At 47.0% G+C, this 22026-nt stretch overlaps 2 protein-coding genes across 3 annotated transcripts in view, besides 1 other annotated feature; one reads left to right on the top strand and one right to left on the bottom strand.

Moving 5' to 3' along the window:
* The window catches only part of ZNF324B (zinc finger protein 324B), a 39438-nt gene extending 17454 nt beyond the window's left edge, over window positions 1-21984 (bottom strand). The window contains exons 1-2 of the mRNA XM_047438807.1: window positions 21053-21984; window positions 884-939 (exon numbers count right to left, since the gene is read on the bottom strand). Of these exons, the coding sequence (XP_047294763.1) occupies window positions 884-934 (51 nt within the window). The 5' untranslated portion in view covers window positions 935-939; window positions 21053-21984. The remainder of the gene's footprint in view (window positions 1-883; window positions 940-21052) is intronic.
* Window positions 51-561: an enhancer, noted in NCBI's record as "H3K27ac-H3K4me1 hESC enhancer chr19:58951186-58951696 (GRCh37/hg19 assembly coordinates)". NCBI's record gives its function as "activates a minimal SCP1, AML or CMV promoter by ChIP-STARR-seq in naive H9 embryonic stem cells {active_cell/tissue: H9 hESC(naive)}" and the evidence as "EXISTENCE:reporter gene assay evidence [ECO:0000049][PMID:30033119]".
* ZNF132 (zinc finger protein 132) lies at window positions 227-7566 on the top strand. Of its 2 annotated transcripts, none has more exons than NM_003433.4 (3): window positions 227-621; window positions 3165-3333; window positions 5169-7566. In NM_003433.4, exons 1-3 carry the CDS (start codon window positions 559-561, stop codon window positions 7055-7057), a joined length of 2121 nt encoding a protein of 706 aa, NP_003424.3. In that variant the 5' UTR covers window positions 227-558; the 3' UTR covers window positions 7058-7566. The 2 variants fall into 2 exon arrangements, with proteins under 2 accessions (NP_003424.3, XP_047295317.1); XM_047439361.1 differs by having other exon boundaries at window positions 373-2654.
* Window positions 21985-22026: the final 42 nt, after the last annotated feature.

Genomic DNA, 22026 nt, shown 5'->3' with positions numbered 1-22026 from the left:
GGCCAGCCCTGAGGCACCGCGAGGGTCCTTCTGGATAATGTAGTTTGCGTTGCCTGAGCAGCGACGCAATAAACGCCATTCCTCAATCACCTTGGCAACGACCTAGCAGTAGCGTGACGGGCATAGGGAAATAGCGTCATAGACGGCGGGGATCCTTGAGCCAATGAAAGCTCGGACCAGTGGCAAGTCCGAGCTGTCATTGAGAGGCGGGACTTCCGGCGCCGCCATTGCGGTCCTCATTTTGCTGCTGGTGGGTTGGGCTACAGCAGGCCTCTGGAGCCACACCAGGGCACGGGAGTGGGTGCAGGGACCGTCACCGCGCCTTCACACGCACCATAGTGCCCGGCTAATTACTCTGCTTTTATGAGCCAAGGTGTTCCCGAAAGTGGAGCCAGCGCCACGCGTCTCCAGGGTCTCCATACCCAGCCTTCGTCCCTGCGGTGCCCAGAGGCCTTGCGCGCATTTTGCATTTGGGAAGACAGGTCCTGAGTGCGACCGTCACCCAGCGGAAGTGTGAGGGTTCGGCCCAGCGGCAGGGCTAGCCCTGGGCCTCCTGTTATGGCCCTGCCCAGCCCACAGGTTCTAATGGGGTTGCCAGCGTTGCTGATGGGCCCGGCGCAGGTAAGTGGAGTGTGCCCCAGGCCCTCACCCGCTGGGATTCCGGCCCTCAGGATCCTGAAGCCCAGATAGAGGGGATGTTGGTGTCCTGGGACTCTTGATCGTGTCCTGTCCTCACACGTGGGTCCTGGGCCCTGCCCTGGGAGTCACTTACCCTTACCATCCTGAATCCAGGCAAGGGGTTATATCGAGGGATTCCCATTTCTGGAATCCTGTGGAATGAGATCTGGAAGGCTGTCCCAGGGACAGTGACCAGCATGTGTACCTTGTTTAGTGGTGATGAAATGGAAGCATTCTGGGGACTGCCGGTCTCCATTTAGTCTGGTGGAAACAGGGAAGGGAAACCAATAGTTAGGCCTGGAATGGCAGCCTGAGGAGCTGGACCTCTATTCTGATGGTGGTGGGAGCCATGGAAGGTTTGGAGTAGAGGAAGTAGGTGCTCTGACTCCAGTCTTAACAGACGCCCTATGGATGCCTAGTGGGCAGCAGACTGGAGGGATGGTGATGGTGGAGCAGGAAGGCCAGTGAGGAGCTGACAGATGTGGTCCAGATGTGTGCTTTGGGTAGCTGGACAGAGGGGTGCCCGTGGAGGTAGGACAGATGGTTGGCTTCTGAATCTGCCCAAACTGGGCCATGGATTACCTGATGTGGGACAGTGAAAGAAAGTGAAATGTTAAGATTGACCTAAGGCTGAGTGCAGTGGCTCACACTTGTAATCCCAGCACTTTGGGAGGCCAAGGCGGCCAGATCACTTGAGGTCAGGAGTTCAAGACCAGCCTGGCCAACGTGGCGAAACCCCACCTCTACTAAAAATACAGAAAAATTAGCCAGGACATGGTAGTGTGCACCTGTAATCCCAGCAACTTGGGAAACTGAGGCAGAAGAACTGTTTGAATCTGGGAGATGGAGGTTGCATTGAGCTGAGATCGTGCCACTGCGCTCCAGCCTGAGTGACAGAGCGAGACTCTGTCTTAAAAAAAAAAAAAAATTGCCGGGCGTGGTGGCTCACGCCTGTAATCCCAGCACTTTGGGAGGCCGAGGCAGGTGGATCACTAGGTCAGGAGATTGAGACCATCCTGGCTAACACGGTGAAACCCCATCTCTACTAAAAATACAAAAAATTAGTCAGGCGTGGTGGTGGGTGCCTGTAGTCCCAGCTACTCGGGAGGCTGAGGCAGGAGAATGGCTTGAACCCGGGAGGCGGAGCTTGCAGTGAGCCAAGATCGCGCCACTGCACTCCAACCTGGGTGACAGAGCGAGACTCTGTCTCAAAAAAAAAAAAAAAAAAATTGACCTTAGATCTTTCAGATGTGGAAGTTGGTGTGAGGAGTAGATTTCAGGGGGAAGATAAAGAGTTGGATTTTGGCCATGTTGTATTTGAGATGTCCCAGACACTACCAAATTGAGGTGCCAAGTAGACCACTAAACATGTGATTATGAAATTATGTCGGGTTTAGGCTGGAAACATCCAAGGGATGGATGCTTGTGTGTGGACACTGCATGCAGTTGTGGGTTGGGTTCAAGATAGTGGCTGAGCCTCCTGAGCAGAGAGTAGGTCTAGGACAACAGTGAAGCATAGCGGCAAAAGTAGGATGAGAGTTGGGCTTTGGTTTAGGTTGATTTGCTTCTCTACAGCTCACTACATTGTTGCGGCCATCCTTCTTGTGGTCAGGGCATGTTATCTCTTCTTAAATAGGGTCCTGGGGTTTTTGTCAGGCTGGTGGAGTGGCAAGATCAGAAAGGGTCAGCCTAAGCTGAGTCCCCAAGCCAAGGTGGGGGCCAGTGGATCTTGGATTTGAGTGTTAGGAAGAGCAAGGACAGCTATGACTGGGGAGGAGACAACACATACAAAGGCAAAGATATCAGAGGGAAGAGATATTTGAGATCTGCTTATGGTTCTGGGCAGCTGATGGTTGAAGGAACAGGGCTGGCAGGGGAGGCATTGACTTGAGGGGCTATGACTGCCTCTTGCAGTGGGGTTTTTGGAGCTCTGTAGCTGGCTTGGACCAGGAATGGATCCCGGTTGCATCTGTCAGGTATGCCATGTGCATGGTGAGATGCTAGGGAGAATGCCTACAGTGTGAACAGGGAGGGGTTGGAAATATAAGAACTGTATGGTCTGAGGAGTGACATGTAAAGGTGAGAGAATGTGAACCATTGGGCCCATGGCCCTGGTACAAGAGGCTTAAGAAAGGGAAGCCCAAATTTTCTTATGTTTGGGAGGTATGAGCCAGAAGACACAAGGAAAATTGGCCAGCAGGAGGGAGGAGGAAGCATCCATCTGCCCACCTGCCTATTGTTCCTCTAGGTTGGGTTGGCCTGGATACAGTGACCAGTGGGACTACTAGGAGAGAGGGGCACCATTAATTCCAGGGCATGTTAGGTGGGGGCCCTGAGGAAGAAGATAAGCTGTGGATGGGTGAGTAGTGGGTGGACTGAGAGGATCATAAGAAAAAGAGATATTAGTGGTAGATGTATCAGGATTCTGAGTCACACAGCAAGGTCCTGCATATTTCCATTTGACCAATTGTTTGTTTCTTTGTCAGCATACTTCTTGGCCCTGTGGCTCAGCTGTCCCCACATTGAAGAGCATGGTAACCTTTGAAGATGTGGCTGTATACTTCTCCCAAGAGGAGTGGGAGCTCCTTGATGCAGCCCAGAGGCACCTGTACCACAGTGTGATGCTGGAAAACCTTGAGCTTGTGACCTCACTTGGTAATGCCCTGTCTCAGCATGGTGATGACTACCTTATGCCTTGTGTCTTTTCCCCATAGAAAGCTCTGTTCATCCCAAAGCCAGATCATGGGTACTGCTTCCTTCTCGGGTTTCCTGTTGTAGGTGCTGGGGTGCTGAGGTTCTGCTGTGTGTACTTCCCCTGTCTCTCTCTGAGCAGCCTCATGAGCTTTCCTAATAGCTGTTGCCCAGGAGCCTTGTGGAGGCAAAGGTTGGGGATCAGACACCTCCAGTCTGCCTAACAGATCCCACTGAGATTCACCAATCCCTGGTCGGGTTACCCAGTATGAGGTCATGCCCAGATTCTGTCTCTTTCCCAATGAGATTTTTTTTTCCTTTTTTTTTTTTTTTTTTTTTTTTTGAGATGGAGTCTTGCTCTGTCCCCCAGGCTGGAGTGCAGTGGCGTGATCTCAGCTTACTGCAAGCTCTGCCTCCCAGGTTCACGCCATTCTCCTGCCTCAGCCTCCCAAGTAGCTGGGACTACAGGTGCCTGCCACCACACCCAGCTAATTTTTTTTGTATTTTCAGTAGAGAGGGGGTTTCACCATGTTAGCCAGGATGGTCTCAATCTCCTGACCTCGTGATCCACCCACCTCAGCCTCCCAAAGTGCTGGGATTACAGGCGTGAGCCACCACGCCCAGCCCCCAGTGAGATATTTTTTAAAAACAGCTTTATTAAGATAAACCATACAATTCACCTTTTAAAGTACACAGTCTAGTGATTTCTATATGTTTTCACATGGTATAATCATTGCTATAATGTAATTTTAGCATGTTTTCATCACCTAAAGAGAAACTGTAGGTCCTATTAGCAGTCCCATTAGCTGTCACTCCCCATGTTCCCTTATCCCTTTCCCCCCGGTCCTAGGCAACCACTAATCTACTTTCTGACTATATAGATTTACGTTTCCTAGACATTTTATAGAATACTATGTATTTTTCTGTGACTGGCTTTCTCTTAGCATGTTTTTGAAGTTCATCAATGTTGTAGCATGTATCAATATTTCATTCTTTTTTATAGCCAAATATTCCAGTGTATAGAAAGACTACAGTTTGTTTATCCATTTACCAGTGGATGAGCATTTGGCTTGTTTCCATTTTTTAGGTGTTAGAAAAAAATGCTGCTATAGAAGCTGGGCAAGGTGCCTATAATCCGTCTACTCAGGAGGCTGAGGCAGGAGGATCACTTGAGCCCAGGAGTTTGAGACCAACCTGGGCAACATAGCAAGACCCCATCTCAAATTTTAAAAAAATTCTGCTATGAACAGTCCTGTACACATTTTTGTGTGGATGTTTTTAGTTCTCTTGTGTAGCTCTGTAGAAGCAGACTTGCCAAACTGTTTTCCAAATTGGCTGCACCATTTTACATCCCTGTCTGCAGTGTATAAGTGCTCCAGTTTTTCTACTTCATTTGTTGTCATTTATTTTTTTTTATTATAGCTATGCTAGTGGATGTGAAGTGGTATCTCATTATGGTTTTGGTTTTCATACTCCTCATGTTTAAGGATGCTGAACTTCTTTTCATATGCTTATTGGCCATTTGTGTATATATCTTCTTTTAGAGAAATGTCTATTTAAGTCCTTTGACCCATTTCTGTGTCCTTACCCCTGGTGAGGTCTCCCTTATTCTGTTGCTTGGCTGGTCCCTATCCTGCCAATAGTAATGGGCCCTTCTTCACCCTGATGATGGCCCTGTTGGCCTGTCAGCAATCCCTGGGACCTCTTCTTGGGTGTGAATTCCTGGGTAACATTTCTAATGAAGTCAACCATTCCCACCAAGTGGAATTCTTAGTTAACTGGCATTTCTCTACTTTCAGGTTCTTGGCATGGAGTAGAGGGTGAGGGGGCCCATCCCAAGCAGAATGTTTCTGTAGAAGTGTTACAGGTCAGGATCCCTAATGCAGATCCTTCCACCAAGAAAGCTAACTCCTGTGACATGTGTGGGCCATTCTTGAAAGACATTTTGCACCTGGCTGAGCATCAGGGAACACAGTCTGAGGAGAAACCCTACACATGTGGAGCATGTGGGAGAGACTTTTGGTTGAATGCAAACCTTCACCAGCACCAGAAGGAGCACAGTGGAGGGAAGCCCTTTAGATGGTACAAGGACAGGGACGCACTTATGAAGAGCTCTAAAGTCCACCTGTCAGAGAACCCCTTCACTTGCAGGGAAGGTGGGAAGGTCATCCTGGGCAGCTGTGACCTCCTCCAGCTTCAAGCTGTTGACAGTGGGCAGAAGCCATATTCCAATCTTGGGCAGCTTCCAGAAGTCTGTACCACACAGAAACTCTTCGAGTGCAGCAACTGTGGAAAAGCCTTCCTGAAGAGCTCCACTCTCCCCAACCATCTGAGAACTCACTCTGAAGAGATACCATTTACATGCCCAACAGGTGGAAATTTCTTAGAGGAGAAATCAATCCTTGGTAATAAAAAGTTTCACACTGGGGAAATACCCCATGTGTGTAAGGAGTGTGGGAAGGCCTTTAGTCACTCATCTAAGCTGAGGAAGCACCAGAAATTTCACACTGAAGTAAAATATTATGAGTGCATTGCATGTGGGAAAACCTTCAACCACAAACTCACATTTGTTCATCATCAGAGAATTCACTCAGGAGAAAGACCTTATGAGTGTGATGAATGTGGGAAAGCCTTCAGTAACAGATCACACCTCATTCGGCATGAGAAAGTTCACACTGGAGAAAGGCCTTTTGAGTGCCTGAAATGTGGAAGAGCCTTCAGCCAAAGCTCCAATTTCCTTCGGCATCAGAAAGTTCACACACAGGTAAGACCTTATGAGTGCAGTCAATGTGGTAAATCCTTCAGCCGAAGCTCTGCTCTCATTCAGCACTGGAGAGTTCACACTGGAGAAAGACCGTATGAATGCAGTGAATGTGGAAGAGCTTTTAACAATAACTCCAACCTTGCTCAGCACCAGAAAGTTCACACCGGAGAACGGCCTTTTGAGTGCAGTGAATGTGGAAGAGACTTCAGCCAAAGCTCCCATCTCCTTCGACATCAGAAAGTTCACACTGGAGAACGGCCTTTTGAATGCTGTGATTGTGGTAAAGCCTTCAGTAATAGCTCCACCCTCATCCAGCACCAGAAAGTACATACTGGGCAAAGGCCTTATGAGTGCAGCGAATGTAGGAAATCCTTCAGCCGCAGCTCCAGCCTGATTCAGCACTGGAGAATTCACACTGGAGAAAAGCCTTACGAGTGTAGTGAGTGTGGGAAAGCCTTTGCTCACAGCTCCACTCTCATTGAACACTGGAGAGTTCACACAAAAGAAAGGCCTTATGAGTGCAATGAATGTGGGAAATTCTTTAGCCAAAACTCCATTCTCATTAAGCATCAGAAAGTTCATACTGGAGAAAAGCCTTATAAATGCAGTGAATGTGGGAAATTCTTTAGCCGAAAATCCAGCCTTATTTGTCACTGGAGAGTTCACACTGGAGAAAGGCCTTACGAATGCAGTGAATGTGGGAGAGCCTTTAGCAGTAACTCCCACCTGGTTCGTCATCAGAGAGTTCACACACAAGAAAGGCCCTATGAGTGCATCCAGTGTGGAAAAGCCTTTAGTGAAAGATCTACACTTGTTCGGCACCAGAAAGTTCACACCAGAGAAAGGACTTATGAGTGTAGCCAGTGTGGGAAACTCTTCAGCCATCTTTGTAACCTTGCACAGCATAAAAAGATTCATACCTGAGTGGAGCCTTATGGAAGTGGTCTTTGTGAGAAAATCTTCAGCCAAGTCAAACTTCATGCAGCAGAATCCCCATACCAGAAAAATTACCTACATGTACTGCTAATGTGGAAAAGCCTTCAGAAGCTACTCTGTTTCTGACCAGCCCAGGAACCTTTGCAGGGCCATCTCACCCATGCAGCATAAGGCAGAAGCCATAGTCACTTTCCATCTTGCCTGGATCCAAAAATTTGCAGCAGTCCTGTCCTCATGCATGGGGAAAACAGTACCCTGAGCCTTCCTTCCTGTGTTCTCTAGGGATTCAGGACTGTGCTCAGCTGAACCGATGCTGGTTGAGGGGCCTTGAGGGAAATCTAATTTGAGCTCAGGAAGATGCACATTCCTTGTGGATGTGGTCAAGTCTGTGTTTAACCCCTAAGATGTGTCCATTGAGGCCACAAATCACCCTCCACTGGAATCACCTACCTTGCCTGCACTAACTGGTGATAATAAAGACCTTATTGATCAGGTCACCTTTAATCTTAGGGGTTCTGTTGGGGTAGGTTGAGAAAATGAATGGATAGATTGGGGAGTGCCTTTTGGGGGCACAAAATCTGCCTAAGGGCACAGTAGAAGAGCGGGTAGTTGCTCTGTCCTGTTGTAGCCTACTTTGCATTGCTGTGTGAAAGACTGGGAAAGACTGAAAGGCTCTGGATTGAACATAGTGGCCTGTTTCAGTTACCGTAGGGCCCAGAGCTTACCCAGAGGAAAAATAAACTCATCTACAACACTAAAATAGTCACAGGGTCACCAAGGCAAAGACCTAGAGGGGTCCATGGAGGACTCTATGTGCATAGAGAAACACTGGATGTGAGGTAATAACCAGGGATTTGGGTAGACTGGTGAACTAGGGCACATGCCATCATGGACAAAGGAATAGCCATAGTTCCCCATCAACTGGGACTGTGCAGGGTGAGGGTGTGCAGAACAACTCCAGAGCTACAGACCTTTGTATTTGCCATGTTAAAGTTTTTGCCACAGTTAAAGCAGATAAATGCAATGTCATGTACATTCACTTCACCTCTCTCAAACTGTATCTTGGCACCCATCACTCCCCAGGTAGGAACTGGGAGCTGAGAGAAGTGATAGCCTGACGTCCAGGAAAGTGGTTTTTGCAGTCTGGCCAGGGTTTCTGGTCACTAACACACACTTCATGCCTTCACAGTCTTGCTGGCCAACAGAGTGGGCACAGGCAGATGGGGGCATTTAACACAGTTGACAGAGCTGGTATTTTAGAAGGAGCTAGAGATCCAGAACCTTGTAGAATATGGTGTTTGGCACCTTTTTTTTTTGATATGGAGTCTTGCTCTGTCGCCCAAGCTGGAGTGCAGTGGCGCGATTTTGGCTCACGGCAAGCTCCACCTCCTAAATGGCTCACGCCATTCTCCTGCCTCAGCCTCCCGAGTAGCTGGAACTACAGTTGCCCGCCACCACACCCAGCTAATTTTTTTGTATTTTTAGTAGAGACGGGTTTTCACCATGTTAGCCAGGATGGTCTCGATCTCCTGACCTCCTGATCTGCCTGCCTTGGACTCCCAAAGTGCTGGGATTACATGCATGAGCCACCGCACCTGGCCGGCACCTATTTTAAAAAGCTTATTTACCATGTAATTTCAGCATCATCACATGTGAGCTGCTGCTGTTTCTTTGACCTCCCCCATACAAGGAAGTACTCATGAGAGCATTGGCTGGGATGTGAACAGGAGTCCCCATAAAGGAGAGGCCTGGCCAGGTGCAGTGGTGCACACCTATAGTCCTAGCTGCTTGAGAGGCTGAGGCAGGAGGATCTCTTGAGCCCAGGAGGTTGAGTCCATCCAGGGCAACATAGCAAGGCCCCATCTCTAGAAAAGAAGGGTGGCCTGGGCTCACATCACTGAACAGCAGTTTCAGTAGCCACTGCTGCTTCCACATCTGTCCTAGATCCCTCTCTGTTCTCCCTGCCTATGTGAATGTCACCTAACAGGCTCAGTAGTGGGATATGTGACAGGACCAGTACTCCATGACTGGTCGTTCCTCACCCTGACCATGGCACCCTTGCCCTGCCAAAGATTGTACTCCTGGCTGAACGTTAGGCAGTGTACTCCAGGTAGAAACCCCACACAAGGGAGTGGATCAAACCTTCACCAACAGTAGACCATTTATGGTGAAGACCACCTTTTCAGATGTGACATGGCTCACAGTAAGAGCACTTTTCAGTTCATGCACAGCAAAATTCATAAGTGAGAGGACTCAAGGGCCAGGCATTTGTGAAGGCTTTCCAGGGTAACTACCCCCTTCCAGCACTGGAGTACCAGAATAATGAGAAGCTCAAAAGAGAATGTGGAAAGGCCTTCCTTTCTCCATCACCAGAGTACTCATGGCACAGGGAAGCCATGAAGAAGAGCTGAGTGAGAAGATGCTGCCACACAGCTCTAACATCAGATAACACCGGGCAGGCCATGATAGGGAGAAGCCCTTCAAGAGCAGTGGCTATGGGAAGACATGAAGACTTTTGCCCTCTTCAACCACCTAAGAACCCACACTGAAGAGAGATCTTTAAATACTTGGTATGAAGAAAGACCCTCAAGAAGAAATCGATTCTTATCTATAACCAAAAAATTCACAGTAGAGAAAACCCCTGCATCTAAGGAATGTGGGATGGTCTTCAGTCACCTCTCCTATGTGAGAAAGCTATATAAAGTACCTATGGGAAAAAGGCATTACAAATGCAGTGAAAATGGGAAAGCCTTCAGCTATAGACACCCCCTTTTAAGAAAAATCACCAGAGAATTCACAAGAGAGTTATGGGCAACAAATGTGGGAAAGCCACAGCTCCCAGAATCTTAGGCGGCACTGTATTACTGCTATTGCAGAAGCCATCTGTATTAGTTACCTATTGCTGTGTAACAAATTACTCAAAACCTAGTGGCTTAAAACAATAGTCACTATTTCACAGTCTCTATAGGTCAGGAACTTTGGTGCAGCTAGCTGACTCCTCTTTAGGGTTTCTCACAAGGCTAACATCAAGATGTCAGCTGGGGGTGTATCATCTGAAGGCTTGACTAGGGAAGGCTCTGCTTCCAAGCAAACTCATGTAATTGGCAGCATTCAGTTTTTTGTGGGCTGCTGGACTGAGGACCCGTCTGTTGGTCTGAGACCTCCTCCAGTTCTCTGCCACATGGGCCTCTCCAAAATGGCAGCTTGTCAATCAAAGCTTGCAAGCTGATCATGCAGTGGAGAATACCAACAAGTCAGTCATTTGTAACCTAATAACAGAAGTGAGATCCCATCATCTTTGCTAAATTTAGTTAGAAGCAAGTCACTTGGTCCAGCCCACAGTCAAGGGGAGAGCATTACACAAGAGCATGAATACCAGAGGGCAGAGATCATTGGAAGCCATGTCCAAAGCTGCCTGCCATACTGTCTCATCTCTGCCACCTGGCAAGATCTCATGATATGTATCAGTCTCCCTCACTGTGCTAAGGGAAAGCAGACTATACTCCCTTTTCCATTCTCTAGAGAGAATTACATAGGCTTTGAGTACCTTCATTTTCTTTCCCACTGATGGCTTTAGATTTTGGTATGACAATTCTTGCTAAGATCTGAGCTGGTGTCTTCTGGAGCTTTCCAGAAAAGGTTTCTTGGCCGGGCACAGTGGCTCATGCCTATAATCCCAGCACTTTGGGAAGCTGAGGCAGGCAGATCATGAGGTCAGGAGATCGAGACCATCCTGGCTAACATGGTGAAAACCCACCTCTACTAAAAATACAAAAAATTAGCCAGGTGTGGTGGCGGGTGCCTGTAGTCCCAGCTACTTAGGAGGCTGAGGCAGGAGAATGGTGTGAACCTGGGAGGCAGGGTGTGCAGTGAGCCGAGATCGTGCCACTGCACTCCAGCCTGGGCGACAGTGTGAGACTCCATCTAAAATAGAAGAAAAGGTTTCTCTTCATGGACATTGTTTGCATCTACATGTGACACTTAGGAATGATCTGTTTAGTCTCAATCACTCACTCCTGGATCTGCCTGTCTCTCTCTGAGATAACAAAGGCCTTAATGTTTAGCCACCTGCATCAGAGTTGGTGAGGTGGTTTGAAACAATTCATCCTAATATAAAAAGAACAGCTTTTGTAAGGGGGCACTGAGTGTCTCAAACAGCCGCATGGGCAGGAAGAGTGCTCAGTCCAGTTTTGGTTGAATTTGTCTTGTTGCCCTAAGGCCTCCTATGAAAGACTGACAGGCTTGGACTGAATCTTGTGATCTGGACACCAAGGGTCACCTGTGGGCCCAGAGCTAGCTCTGAAGAATGGGGTAGTTTCTTTGAGAACCTCCACAGCAAAAGTTTGGTCCTCTGTTCCCAATGCATGTCCCACTTTACCAGCTACATCCCCCAGTACCTGCCCATGGCTCATGACTCATGAAATATAAAACTCAGTAGGCAGGCATAACTGGTTCAGACCTGCCAGGGCTATGTGGGAACTATCATTGGTACAAAAACTCTAAGTGTGGAGAAGACTGTGGTAGACAAGAGGGGACATGTCTGTTCTAAACGCACATCAGAAACTTCCAATGACTATGGCCAAGTGAGATAAGGGTGTACAGAACTTCTCAGGACATGCAGACCTATGTGTCACTCATAACTGAAATTCAAATAAATATTTTGTGGATTTCCTGTGGACTCCCTGGGCTGTTCATCTCATGGCCATCACTGCACAGGTAGGCACCTCAAGACAGAGAAGACAGAAATCATGGTCTGGAGTGGCTTATGTGAGTAGCCAGGGTTTCTTGAGAATCATATGGCCGTGGCCTTCATAATTCCACTTCTGGTGGCCACCAAGCAGGTCTGTCCCTCTTAAGGGGTGGGGAGACAATATGGTGGAGTCAGTACAGATTTCCCATATCTCCTGGTTTTCCAAGAAGAGCCAAATATTCAGATTTCTATGTGGCATGTGATTTTATAAATGTTGAAAATCATTTCCAAAAACATTTCAATGCAAACTCAGTTCACCAAAACTATAGGTTGGCTTTAGATATTTCCCTGGGTCCTCCTGAGGCCTAGGGGAGAAAAGACCGGAAATCCTCTGACATGAGAATCTTTGGCCTGTGGTGTCCATCCATACTGTATGATGGATCAGAGGCCACTGCAGCTGCCACGTCTCCTGGAAGCCCCTGAGGGGATGGACAATGATAACCACATTGTGAGCAGAAGCCACAACAGTTTTGCCGTCAGCAAAGTTTACAGCAGGGCTTCTCAAATACTCCCCAGCACAGTGAGGTGTCTGGGGGATACCTACCCTACTCAGGCCTTCCTTCCTGAGTGTAATGTCTCCAATATGGAAGATGCTAATGTCTCCAATATGTAAGACACATGTGGGATCAGAATTAAAGGTTAGCTGAGCCATATGGGGCTCAGCCTTCTAAGCAAATAAAGTTAGGGTAGACACGTCATCAGAGCTCAATCCTCTGTGTGAGTGGCCAAGATTAGATCTCATAAGATGGTGCTGGGCATGATTGTGGCATGCCTGTTTCCAGCTACTTGAGGCAGGAGGATCACTGGATCCCAGGAGTTCAAGACTGCAGTGAGCTATGTTTGCACCACTGCACTCCAGCCTGGGCAACATAATGAGACCTTGTCTCTAAAACAGGAAAAAAAAAAGGCTGGGCGCGGTAGCTCACGCATGTAATCCCAGCACTTTGGGAGGCCAATGCGGGCGGATCACCTGAGGTTGGGACTTTGAGACCAGCCTGACCAACATGGAGAAATCCCATCTCTACAAGAAAAGAAAGAAAGAAAGAAAGAAAGAAAAAGAAAGAAAGGAAGGAAGGAAGGAAGGAAGGAAGGAAGGAAGGAAGGAAGGGAAAGGAAAGGAAGGAAGGAAGGAAGGAAGGAAGGAAGGAAGGAAGGAAAGAAAGAAAGAAAGAAAGAAAGAAAGAAAGAAAGAAAGAAAGAAAGAAAGAAAGGAAAGAGAAAGAAAGAAAGAAAGAAAGAAAGAAAGAAAGAAAGAAAGAAAGAAAGAAAAAAGCCAGGCATGGTGGCGCATGCGTGTAATCCCAGCTACTCAGGAGGCAGGAGAATTGCTTGAGCCTGGGAGGCAGAGGTTGCAGTGAGCTGAGATCACGCCATTGCACTCCAGCCTGGGCAACAAGAGTGAAACTCCGTCTCAAAAAAATAATAAAAAATAAAAATAAAAAAGGAAAAAAAAAAGATTCCTAATACATGAGTAGAGTCCTACGTGTTTCTACTGAACCTGCCTTCTGATCTCCGACTGGGTCTCAGTATACAGCAGCCAACCTGTTAGGGGAAGATAGATGTTTGCCAATAATGCCAGAATATTCCAGGCAAAGTCCTGATGGCTGTGACTTTTGAGCTGTCCAGGTTACCAGCTTTTGTGGGATTCAGTGGCTCCACTGCTTTCAGACTATGCTCAAACCAAAAGGCAGTTGCCTTCAGCCCCTTGATGCAGTGTACTGACTACCCTGTTATTGTACACTCTGCTGTATGCAATGGTAGTTCTCTTCTGGAATCTACTGGGCAGTTCCTTGCCCCTGGGCCTTTGCTTGTGCCCTCCCACATCAGGGACACCCTTGAAAGGCTTCTCAACCTCTCCCAATCATACCTCCAGATCAGCTATACCTCTCCTTCATGCTAGTGTCAGCATCTGTTGATTCCCTCATCTCCAACTCCCAAGCTTTGAGTGAACTATCTGGAACATGGGGGCTGTGAAATCTGAAGAGCAGCAGATTAAGGCCAAGGGTGCCAAAACACTCAGTAACCTTCTCTGGCTTGGCTCAACTTGGACTCCTACTGCTAATAAATTGTGCGATCTGGGGCACAGACTCCCAAGCTTCAGCTGTCTCATCTATAAATCCATGAAATCTGTCTCACAGTGTCCACCAGAACTTCTGACAACACAGAAAACTCTCCATCAATATGAAGCCCTTTACACCGACAGTGGGAATCACTACATTCTCCTTAGGCCACACCCACTAACCAGAGCTTCAGCCATTATACACGGATGGCAGACAATGTTGTCCTACCACGCCATCCTCTCACCTTGGACCCCAATTTTGACATTTCCAGACTCGCCTCTTGTGAAACCCAGATCCTCTACCCCCAGCCCCAGCCTTCTTCTGGCACTCAGAGAAGTCAGCCAAGCTTCGATTGTTTGATGGGGAGGCATGGCCTGACAACTAATGACTCAGAGCTACCAGTCTCTGGCCTCTCCAAAATGCCAAGAACTCATCGATCTGCAGACCTTGTAACCCTCAAGGAATCACTATACCCTCAATGGATATGAAAATAGACACCACTGTGATTCAAGAAGGTGATCTAAGAAAGAAGCACAAGTGAAAATTTATAACCAAGAGATTTCAACATGGGAGGGTGGAAATCTAGAGGTAGGGAGAGGTGAGTAAAGCAGTGGAAACATTAGACCCAGTTCACCTGCCTTGAAATCTCAGCTCTCTTTCTTACTAAATCCTACCTACTATGTGACCTTTTTGTTAGGCTGTTTTTGTGTTACTATAAAGAAATATCTCAGGCTGGGCATGGTGGCTCATGCCTGTAATCCCAGCACTTTGGGAGGCCCAGGCAGGCAGATCACCTGAGGTTGGGAGTTTGAGACCAGCCTGGCCAACATGGTGAAACGGCGTTTCTATTAAAAATACAAAAAATTAGCCAGGCGTGGTGGTGGCGGCTGTAATCCCAGTTACTCGGGAGGCTGAGGTAGGAGAGTTGCTTGAACCCGGCAGGCAGAGGTTGCAATGAGCCAAGATCACGGCATTGCACTCCAGCCTGGGCCACAAGAGCAGAATTCTGTCTAAAAAAAAAAAAAAAAGGAAAGAAGGAAGGAAGGAAGAAGGAAGACAGGAAGGAAGGAAGGAAGGAAAAATCTAAGTCTAGATAGTTTATAAGGAAAAGAGGTTCAGTCGGGCGTGATGGCTCACGCCTGTAATCCCAGCACTTTGGTAGGCCAAGGCAGGAGGATCACTTGAGCCGGGGAGTTTAAGACCAGCCTGGGCAATAGAGCAAGACCCCATCTTTTTTTTTTTTTTGAGATGGAGTCTGGCTCTGTCGCCCAGGCTGGAGTGCAGTGGCGCAATTTCGGCTCACGGCAAGCTCCACCTCCTGGGTTCAAGCAATTCCCCTGCCTCAGCCTCCTGAGTAGCTGGGACTACAGGTGTGCACCGCCACGCCTGGCTGATTTTTTTTGTATTTTTAGTAGAGACAGGTTTCATTACGTTGGCAATGCTGGTTTCAAACTCCTGACCTCATGATCCACCCGCCTCGGCCTCCCAAAGTGGTGGGATTACAGCCATGAGCCACAGTGCCTGGCCAAATTGTTTCTAACTTTTGACTATCTCAAATGAAGCTGCTATAAACATTTGTGTACAAGTCCTTGTGTTAATATATCCTTTGAATTCTCTTGGGTAGATACTTAGAAGTGGAATTTTGGGGGTATATGGTAGGTGTATGTTTAATTGTTTTGTTTTGTTTTTGTTTTTATTTTGAGACAGGGTCTGGCTATGTTGCCCAGGCTGGACTTGGACTCTTGGGCTCAAAAGATCCTCCTGCCCAATGTAGCTGGGACTACAGGTGCACTCCACCATACCCGGCTTTTATGTTTAACATTTTAAGAACTGTCAAACTGTTTTCAAAAAAATTTATCACACTTATATTAGAACTCACTGAGAGTTCTAGTTGCTCCACATTCTTGCCATATATTTGTATGTTTGTCTTTTTCATTTTAACGATTCTAATAAATGTGTAGTAGTTGTATCTCATCATAGTTTAAATTTGCATTTCCTGAATGACTAGTGACGTTGAACAACTTTTCAAGTGTGTATTTGATAACCATATATCTTCTTTCAAAGCATATTTGTTCAGATCTTTTGCCCATTTTAAACTTTGGATGATTATTAACTTATAATCGAGTTATAAGTGTTATTTATATATTTGAGATAAAAGATGTCGAATATATTTAGCAAATATTTTCTCCCAACACGTGCTTTTCCTTTTCCTTTGTTGTTGTTGTTGTTGTTTGTTTTATTTTGTTCTTTTGAGACTGAGTTTCACTCTTGTTGCCCAGGCTGGAGTGCAATGGTGCGATCTCAGCTCACTGCAACCTCCGCCTCCTGGGTTCAAGCTATTCTCCTGCCTTAGCCTCCCAAGTAGCTGAGATTACAGCCATGCGCCACCACACCTGGCTAATTTTTTTTTTTTTTGTATTTTTAGTAGAGATGGGGTTTCACCATGTGAGTCAAGCTGGTCTCGAACTCCTGACCTCTGGTGATCCGTCCGCCTCGGCCTCCCAAAGTGCTGGGATTACAGGTGTGAGCCACTGCCCCGACCCCCTTGTTTTTCTAGTAGTTTTACAGTTTTGAGTCATATGTTTAAGTCTTTATTTAGAGTTGTTTTTGTATACGGTGAGAGATGGGGGTCTAGTTTCATTCATATGGATATCTAGTTTTTGGATTTATTGAAGAGGGTATCCTTTCCCAATGTATGTTATTGGCATCTTTGTTGAAAATCAGTTGGCTGTAAATATCTGGATTTATTTCTGGGTCTCCATTATGTTTCCGTGGTCTATGTGACTATTATACCAATACCACACTCTTTTGGTCACTATAGCCTTGTAATATATTTTCAAGTCAGGTAGTGTGATGCTTCCAGCTTTGCTCTTTGTGCTCAGGATTGCTTTGGCTACTTGGGCTCTTTTTTGATTCTACAAAGCTCTGAGAACTTTTTCTAATTCTGTGGGGAAAAAATGCATTTGATATCTTCATAGGGATTGCATTGAATCTGTAGCTTGCTTTGGGCAGTATGGTCATTTTAACAATATTAATTCTTCTGCCAGGCGCAGTGGCTCATGCCTGCAATCCCAGCACTTTGGGAGGCCAAGCTGGGCAGATCACGAGGTCAGGAGTTTGAGACCAGCCTGGCCAACATGGTGAAAACCTGTCTCTACTAAAGATACAAAAAATTAGCCAGGCGTGGTGGCACATGCCAACAGTCCCAGCTACTCTGGAGGCTGAGGCAGGAGAATGGCGAGAACCCCGGGAGGCAGAGCTTGCAGTGAGCCGAGATCGCGCCACTGCACTCCAGCCTGGGCGACAGAGCAAGACTCCGTCTCAAAAAAAACAGCCGGGTGTGGTGGTTCACGCTTGTAATCCCAGCACTTTGGGAGGCCGAGGCAGGCAGATCACAAGGTCAGGAGATCGAGACCATCCTGGCTAACACGGTGAAACCCTGTCTCTACTAAAAATACAAAAAATTAGCTGAGCATAGTGGCGTGCACCTGTAGTCCCAGCTGCTGGGAAGGCCGAGGCAGAAGAATGGTGTGAACCCGGGAGGCGGAGCTTGTAGTGAGCCCAGATCGTGCCATTGCACTCCAGCCTGGGCAACAGAGCGAGACTCTGTCTCAAAACAAACAAAAACAAAACAAAATATATTAATTCTCCTAATCCATGAGCATATGTTTTTCCATTTGTTTGTATCATTTTTTTTTTGGAAGGGGGTTATTTGTGGGCAGAAGAGGAAGAATGTGAGGATGAATCCAAAGGTCTCTTCAATTCTATTATCAATGTTCTGTAATTTTCCTTGTAGAGGTGTTTCACCTCCTTGGTTAAATTTATTCCCAGGTATATTTTGGTAACTATCATAAATGGGATTGCCTTCTTGATTTCTTTTTCAGCTAGATCATTACTGGTGTATAGAAACACTACTGATTTTTGTACATTGATTGTATCCTGAAACCTTGCTGAATCTCTTTATCAGACCTAAGAGTTTTTTTGGTGGGGTCTAGGTTTTTCTAAATATAAGATCATGTCATCTGCAAACAGGAACAACTTACTTAGTCTCCTCCAATTTGGATACCTTTTCTTTTCTCTTGCCTGGCTAGGACATCTAGTACTATGTTGAATAGGAGTGGTGAAAGTGGGCATCTTTGTCTTGTTCCAGTTCTGAGAGAAAAAGCTTTCAGCCTTTCCCCATTCAGTAAGATGTTAGCTGTGGGTCTGTCATATATGGCCATTATTATGTTGAGGTATGTTCCTTCTACGCCTAGTTGAGAGTTTCTGCCATGACGGGATGTTGAATTTGATCAACTGCTCATGCCTGTAATCCCAGCATGTTAGGAGGGTAAGAGGGGCAGATTACTTGAGGTTAGGAGTTTGAGACCAGCCTAGCCAACATAGCAAACCCTGTCTCTACTAAAAATACAAAAATTAGCCAGGCGTGGTGGCACACACCTGTAGTCCCAGCTACTTGGGGGGCTGAGGCAGGCGAATCGCTTGAACCCGGGACGCGGAGGTTGCAGTGAGAAAAGATTGCACCACTGCACTCCAGCCTGGGTTACAGAGCGAGTCAAAAACAACAACAACAAAACCTAGTGACATTTTTATTGGGACTGCATTGAATCTGCAAATCAACTTTGGGAGGATTAACATACTAATATTGAGACTTCCAGTTCATGAACATGGTAAATGTCCTCATTTACTTAGGTATTCTTCAATCAGTCTCTCAGCAACATTTTGTAGTTTTCAGTGTACAAGTCTTGCATAATTTTGTCAAATTTATTTCTAAGTATTTCATAATTTTATGCTCTTATAAATTACATTTTTAAAATTACATGGCTGGGCACGGTGGCTCACGCCTGTAATCACAGCACTTTGGGAGGCCGAGGTGGGCGGATCACGAGGTCAGGGGTTCGAGACCAGCCCGACCAACATGGTGAAACGCTGTCTCTACTAAAAATACAAAAATTAGCCGGGCATGGTGCGGCGAACCTGTTAATCCCAGCTACTCAGGAGGCTGAGGCAGGAGAATCACTTGAACCTGGGAGCCAAGACTGCACCACTGCACTCCAGCCTGGGTGACGGGGAGACTCCGTCTCAAAAGAAAAAAAAATTACAATGTGGATTGGCTTCCGTTCCCCCTAAAAAAGCAGCACTGAGATTTCTATAGGCAGCAAGGTGATCAATATCCTATCCAGCAGCCAGTCTGGGGAAGTGGGGGAGCAATGGAAAATGAAGATAATTCCTCCTTCAAGGGATTTTTGTGAAGCTGAGGTAGGAGGCAGATGGGACTCTACTCCAGAGCAGGTTGAAGACGCTGAAATCAGGAAAAGGCGCTGAAAGCACTTCCCCGTAAGACAGGCCCGCCATTGCCATGGCAGTTTGCCACTGCCTTGGCAACACTCGGAAGTTACTGCCCCTTAGCATGGCAACAGCTGGAAGTTACCACCCATTTTCTAGCCCATTCTGAATAACATTTAGCATCTCGTATGTCTTTAAAAGTGGGTATATAGGCTGGGTGCGGTGGCTCACGCCGGTAATCCCAGCACTTTGAAAGGCTGAGGTGGGCAGATCACAAGGTCAGGAGTTCGAGACCAGCCTGGCCAGCATGGTGAAACCCCGTCTCTACTAAAAATACAAATTAGCCGGGCATGCTGGCCGATGCCTATAATCCCAGCTACTCGGGAGACTGAGGTATGAGAATCACTTGACCCTGGGAGGCGGAGGTTGCAGTGTGCTGAGATCACACCACTGCACTCCAGCCTGGACAACAGAGTGACTCCATCTCAAAAAAAATAAAATAAAATAAAAGTGGGTATAAGCCAGGAACAGTGTCACACCAACCCCAGCACATTGGGAGTCTGAGGCTGGAAGATCACTTGAGCCCAAGAGTTCAAGATCAGCCTGGGCACATGGCAAAACCTTGTCTCTTAAAAAAAAAAAAAATTTAAAGAGATGGGGTCTTGCCATGTTGCCCAGGCTGGTCTATGAACTTCTCGGCTCAAGCGATCCTCCCACCTCAGTATCCCAGAGTGCTGGCATTACAGGCATGAGCCGCCAATCCTGACCCCCTACTCCCAAATTTTTTTTTTTTTTTGAGACAGAGTCTTGCTTTGTCACCCAGGCTGGAGAATAGTGGTGAGATCTTGGCTCACTGCAACCTCTGCCTCCCCAGTTCAAGCAATTCTCCTGCCTCAGCCTCCCAAGTAGCTGGGACTACAGGCGCCCGTCACCATGCCGGGCTAATTTTTTTGTATTTTTAGTAGAGACGGGGTTTCACCATGTTAGCCAGAATGGTCTCGATCTCCTGACCTCATGATCCACCTGCCTCGGCCTCCCAAAGTGCTGGGATTACAGGCGTGAGCCACTGCACCCAGCCAATTTTTTTGTATTTTTAGTAGAGGTGGAGTTTCACCATGTTGGCCAGGCTGGTTTCAAACTCCTGACCTAAAGTGATCTGCCCACCTTGGCCTCCCAAAGTGCTAGGATTACATGCATCGACCACCACGCCCAGCCTAAAACGATTTTTTCTTTAATTAGCTGAGTGTGGTGGTGTGTAACTGTAGTCGCTGCTACTCAGGAGGCTGAGGTAGAAGGATCACTTGAATCCCTGGAGTCAAGGGTGCAGTGAGCCGTGATCATACCACTACACTCCAGGCTGCGTGACACAGCAAGACTCTGAAAAGGTCCCATAAACCGCAAGATCTGGATCCATACTTTGGTTACCCTACGTGTCTCTCTTGAGCCCCAGAGGGAAAGCCCTGACACCATGACAGCAAAAACTTGACAACTGCAAAGGCCACAGCATCCAGACACCAGGAGTACTGGCTGGGTCACAAAAGGCACATCCCAGGACTATAGAATCTTTCAGTCTCAGGATAATGGCCATGAGAGGTGAACAGCCCAGAGAGGATATGAGAATCCAGAAAGTCTGTAGATTATTTGCTGACAGTGACCTTGACACAAATAACAGGTCTGCAATTGCTGAGAAGTTCTGGTGCCCTCACCCCAGGAAACCTCAGTTGCTGGAACATTTGTGGATGCCTCTTTAGAACTGGCTGAAATCCTCTTGTTTATCAGACACTTCACTCCATACTACTTCACTCAATATTTCTATGCCCACTTACTCTACTCAAATTACTCTACCCAACAGGCCCCTATAGGTCTTAGAGTCAGTCTATAACTTACCTCCATGTTCCAGATTTTGGAGAATATGACTTTTGAGCTGAATCTGGAAACAGCTCCTTCTGACCAATGCTGGAAGTTCTGGAACATTCCCTGGGAACAAGGAACCCAACTTTTTATGTCCATAAACATATAGAAGATCTCTCACCAACTATTCCCTTCCGCAAGGTGAGCTCTGGACCCACAAAAAAGCCTGACATCCAGGCTACAAGTCTTTCCCTGGAGGACTCAGGGGCCAATACAAATTAGGCCAACCTTGACTAGAGGTATTTTCTGTCATCCTGCCATCCCCACTGAGGCAGAAAAAACTCAAGAGACCACCTCCACAAAAGCCATTCCCTCAACTTACGGTGATAGTGCCGGATTCTATTCTCAATCTCTCCACACACAGGGATCAGAACCTCAATATTAAAAGAGACTTGGCAGGGCACAGTGGCTCACAACTATAATACCAGCACTTTGGAAGGCTGAGGCAAGAGGACTGCTTGAGGCAAAGAGTTCATGACCAGCCTGGGCAATGTAGCAAGATCCTGTCTCTATACAAATTTTTAAAATTAGTCAGATGTGGTGCCACACAAGTACAATCCTAGCTATTCAATACGCTGAAGCAGGAGGATCACTTGAGTCCAGTAGTTCAAGTCTGCAATGAGCTAGCTTCACACTACTGCACTCCAGCCTGGGCAAGACTGTGAGACCCTGTCTCTAAAAAAACTAGGCCAGGCACAGTGGCTCCCAGCACTTTGGGAGGCCAAGGCAGGAGGATAGCTTGAGGCTCAGAGTTCGAGACCAGCTTGGGCAATATAGCAAGACCCTGTCCACAAATGAAAAAAAAAAATTAGCCAGGTGTGATGGCGCACACCTGTAGTGCCAGCTACTCAGGAGGCTGAAGCAGGAAGATCCCTTGAGACCAGCAGTTCAAGGCTGTGGTGAGCTATGATGGCACCACTGCATTCCAGCCTGGGCAACAGAATAAGACC

This window comes from Homo sapiens, chromosome 19 (genome assembly GCF_000001405.40).
Source record: "Homo sapiens chromosome 19, GRCh38.p14 Primary Assembly".
NCBI classification, from domain to species: Eukaryota; Metazoa; Chordata; class Mammalia; order Primates; family Hominidae; genus Homo; species Homo sapiens.
The sequence above is the reverse complement of the archived record's forward strand: the minus strand, read 5'-3'. Positions and strand labels throughout refer to the sequence as shown.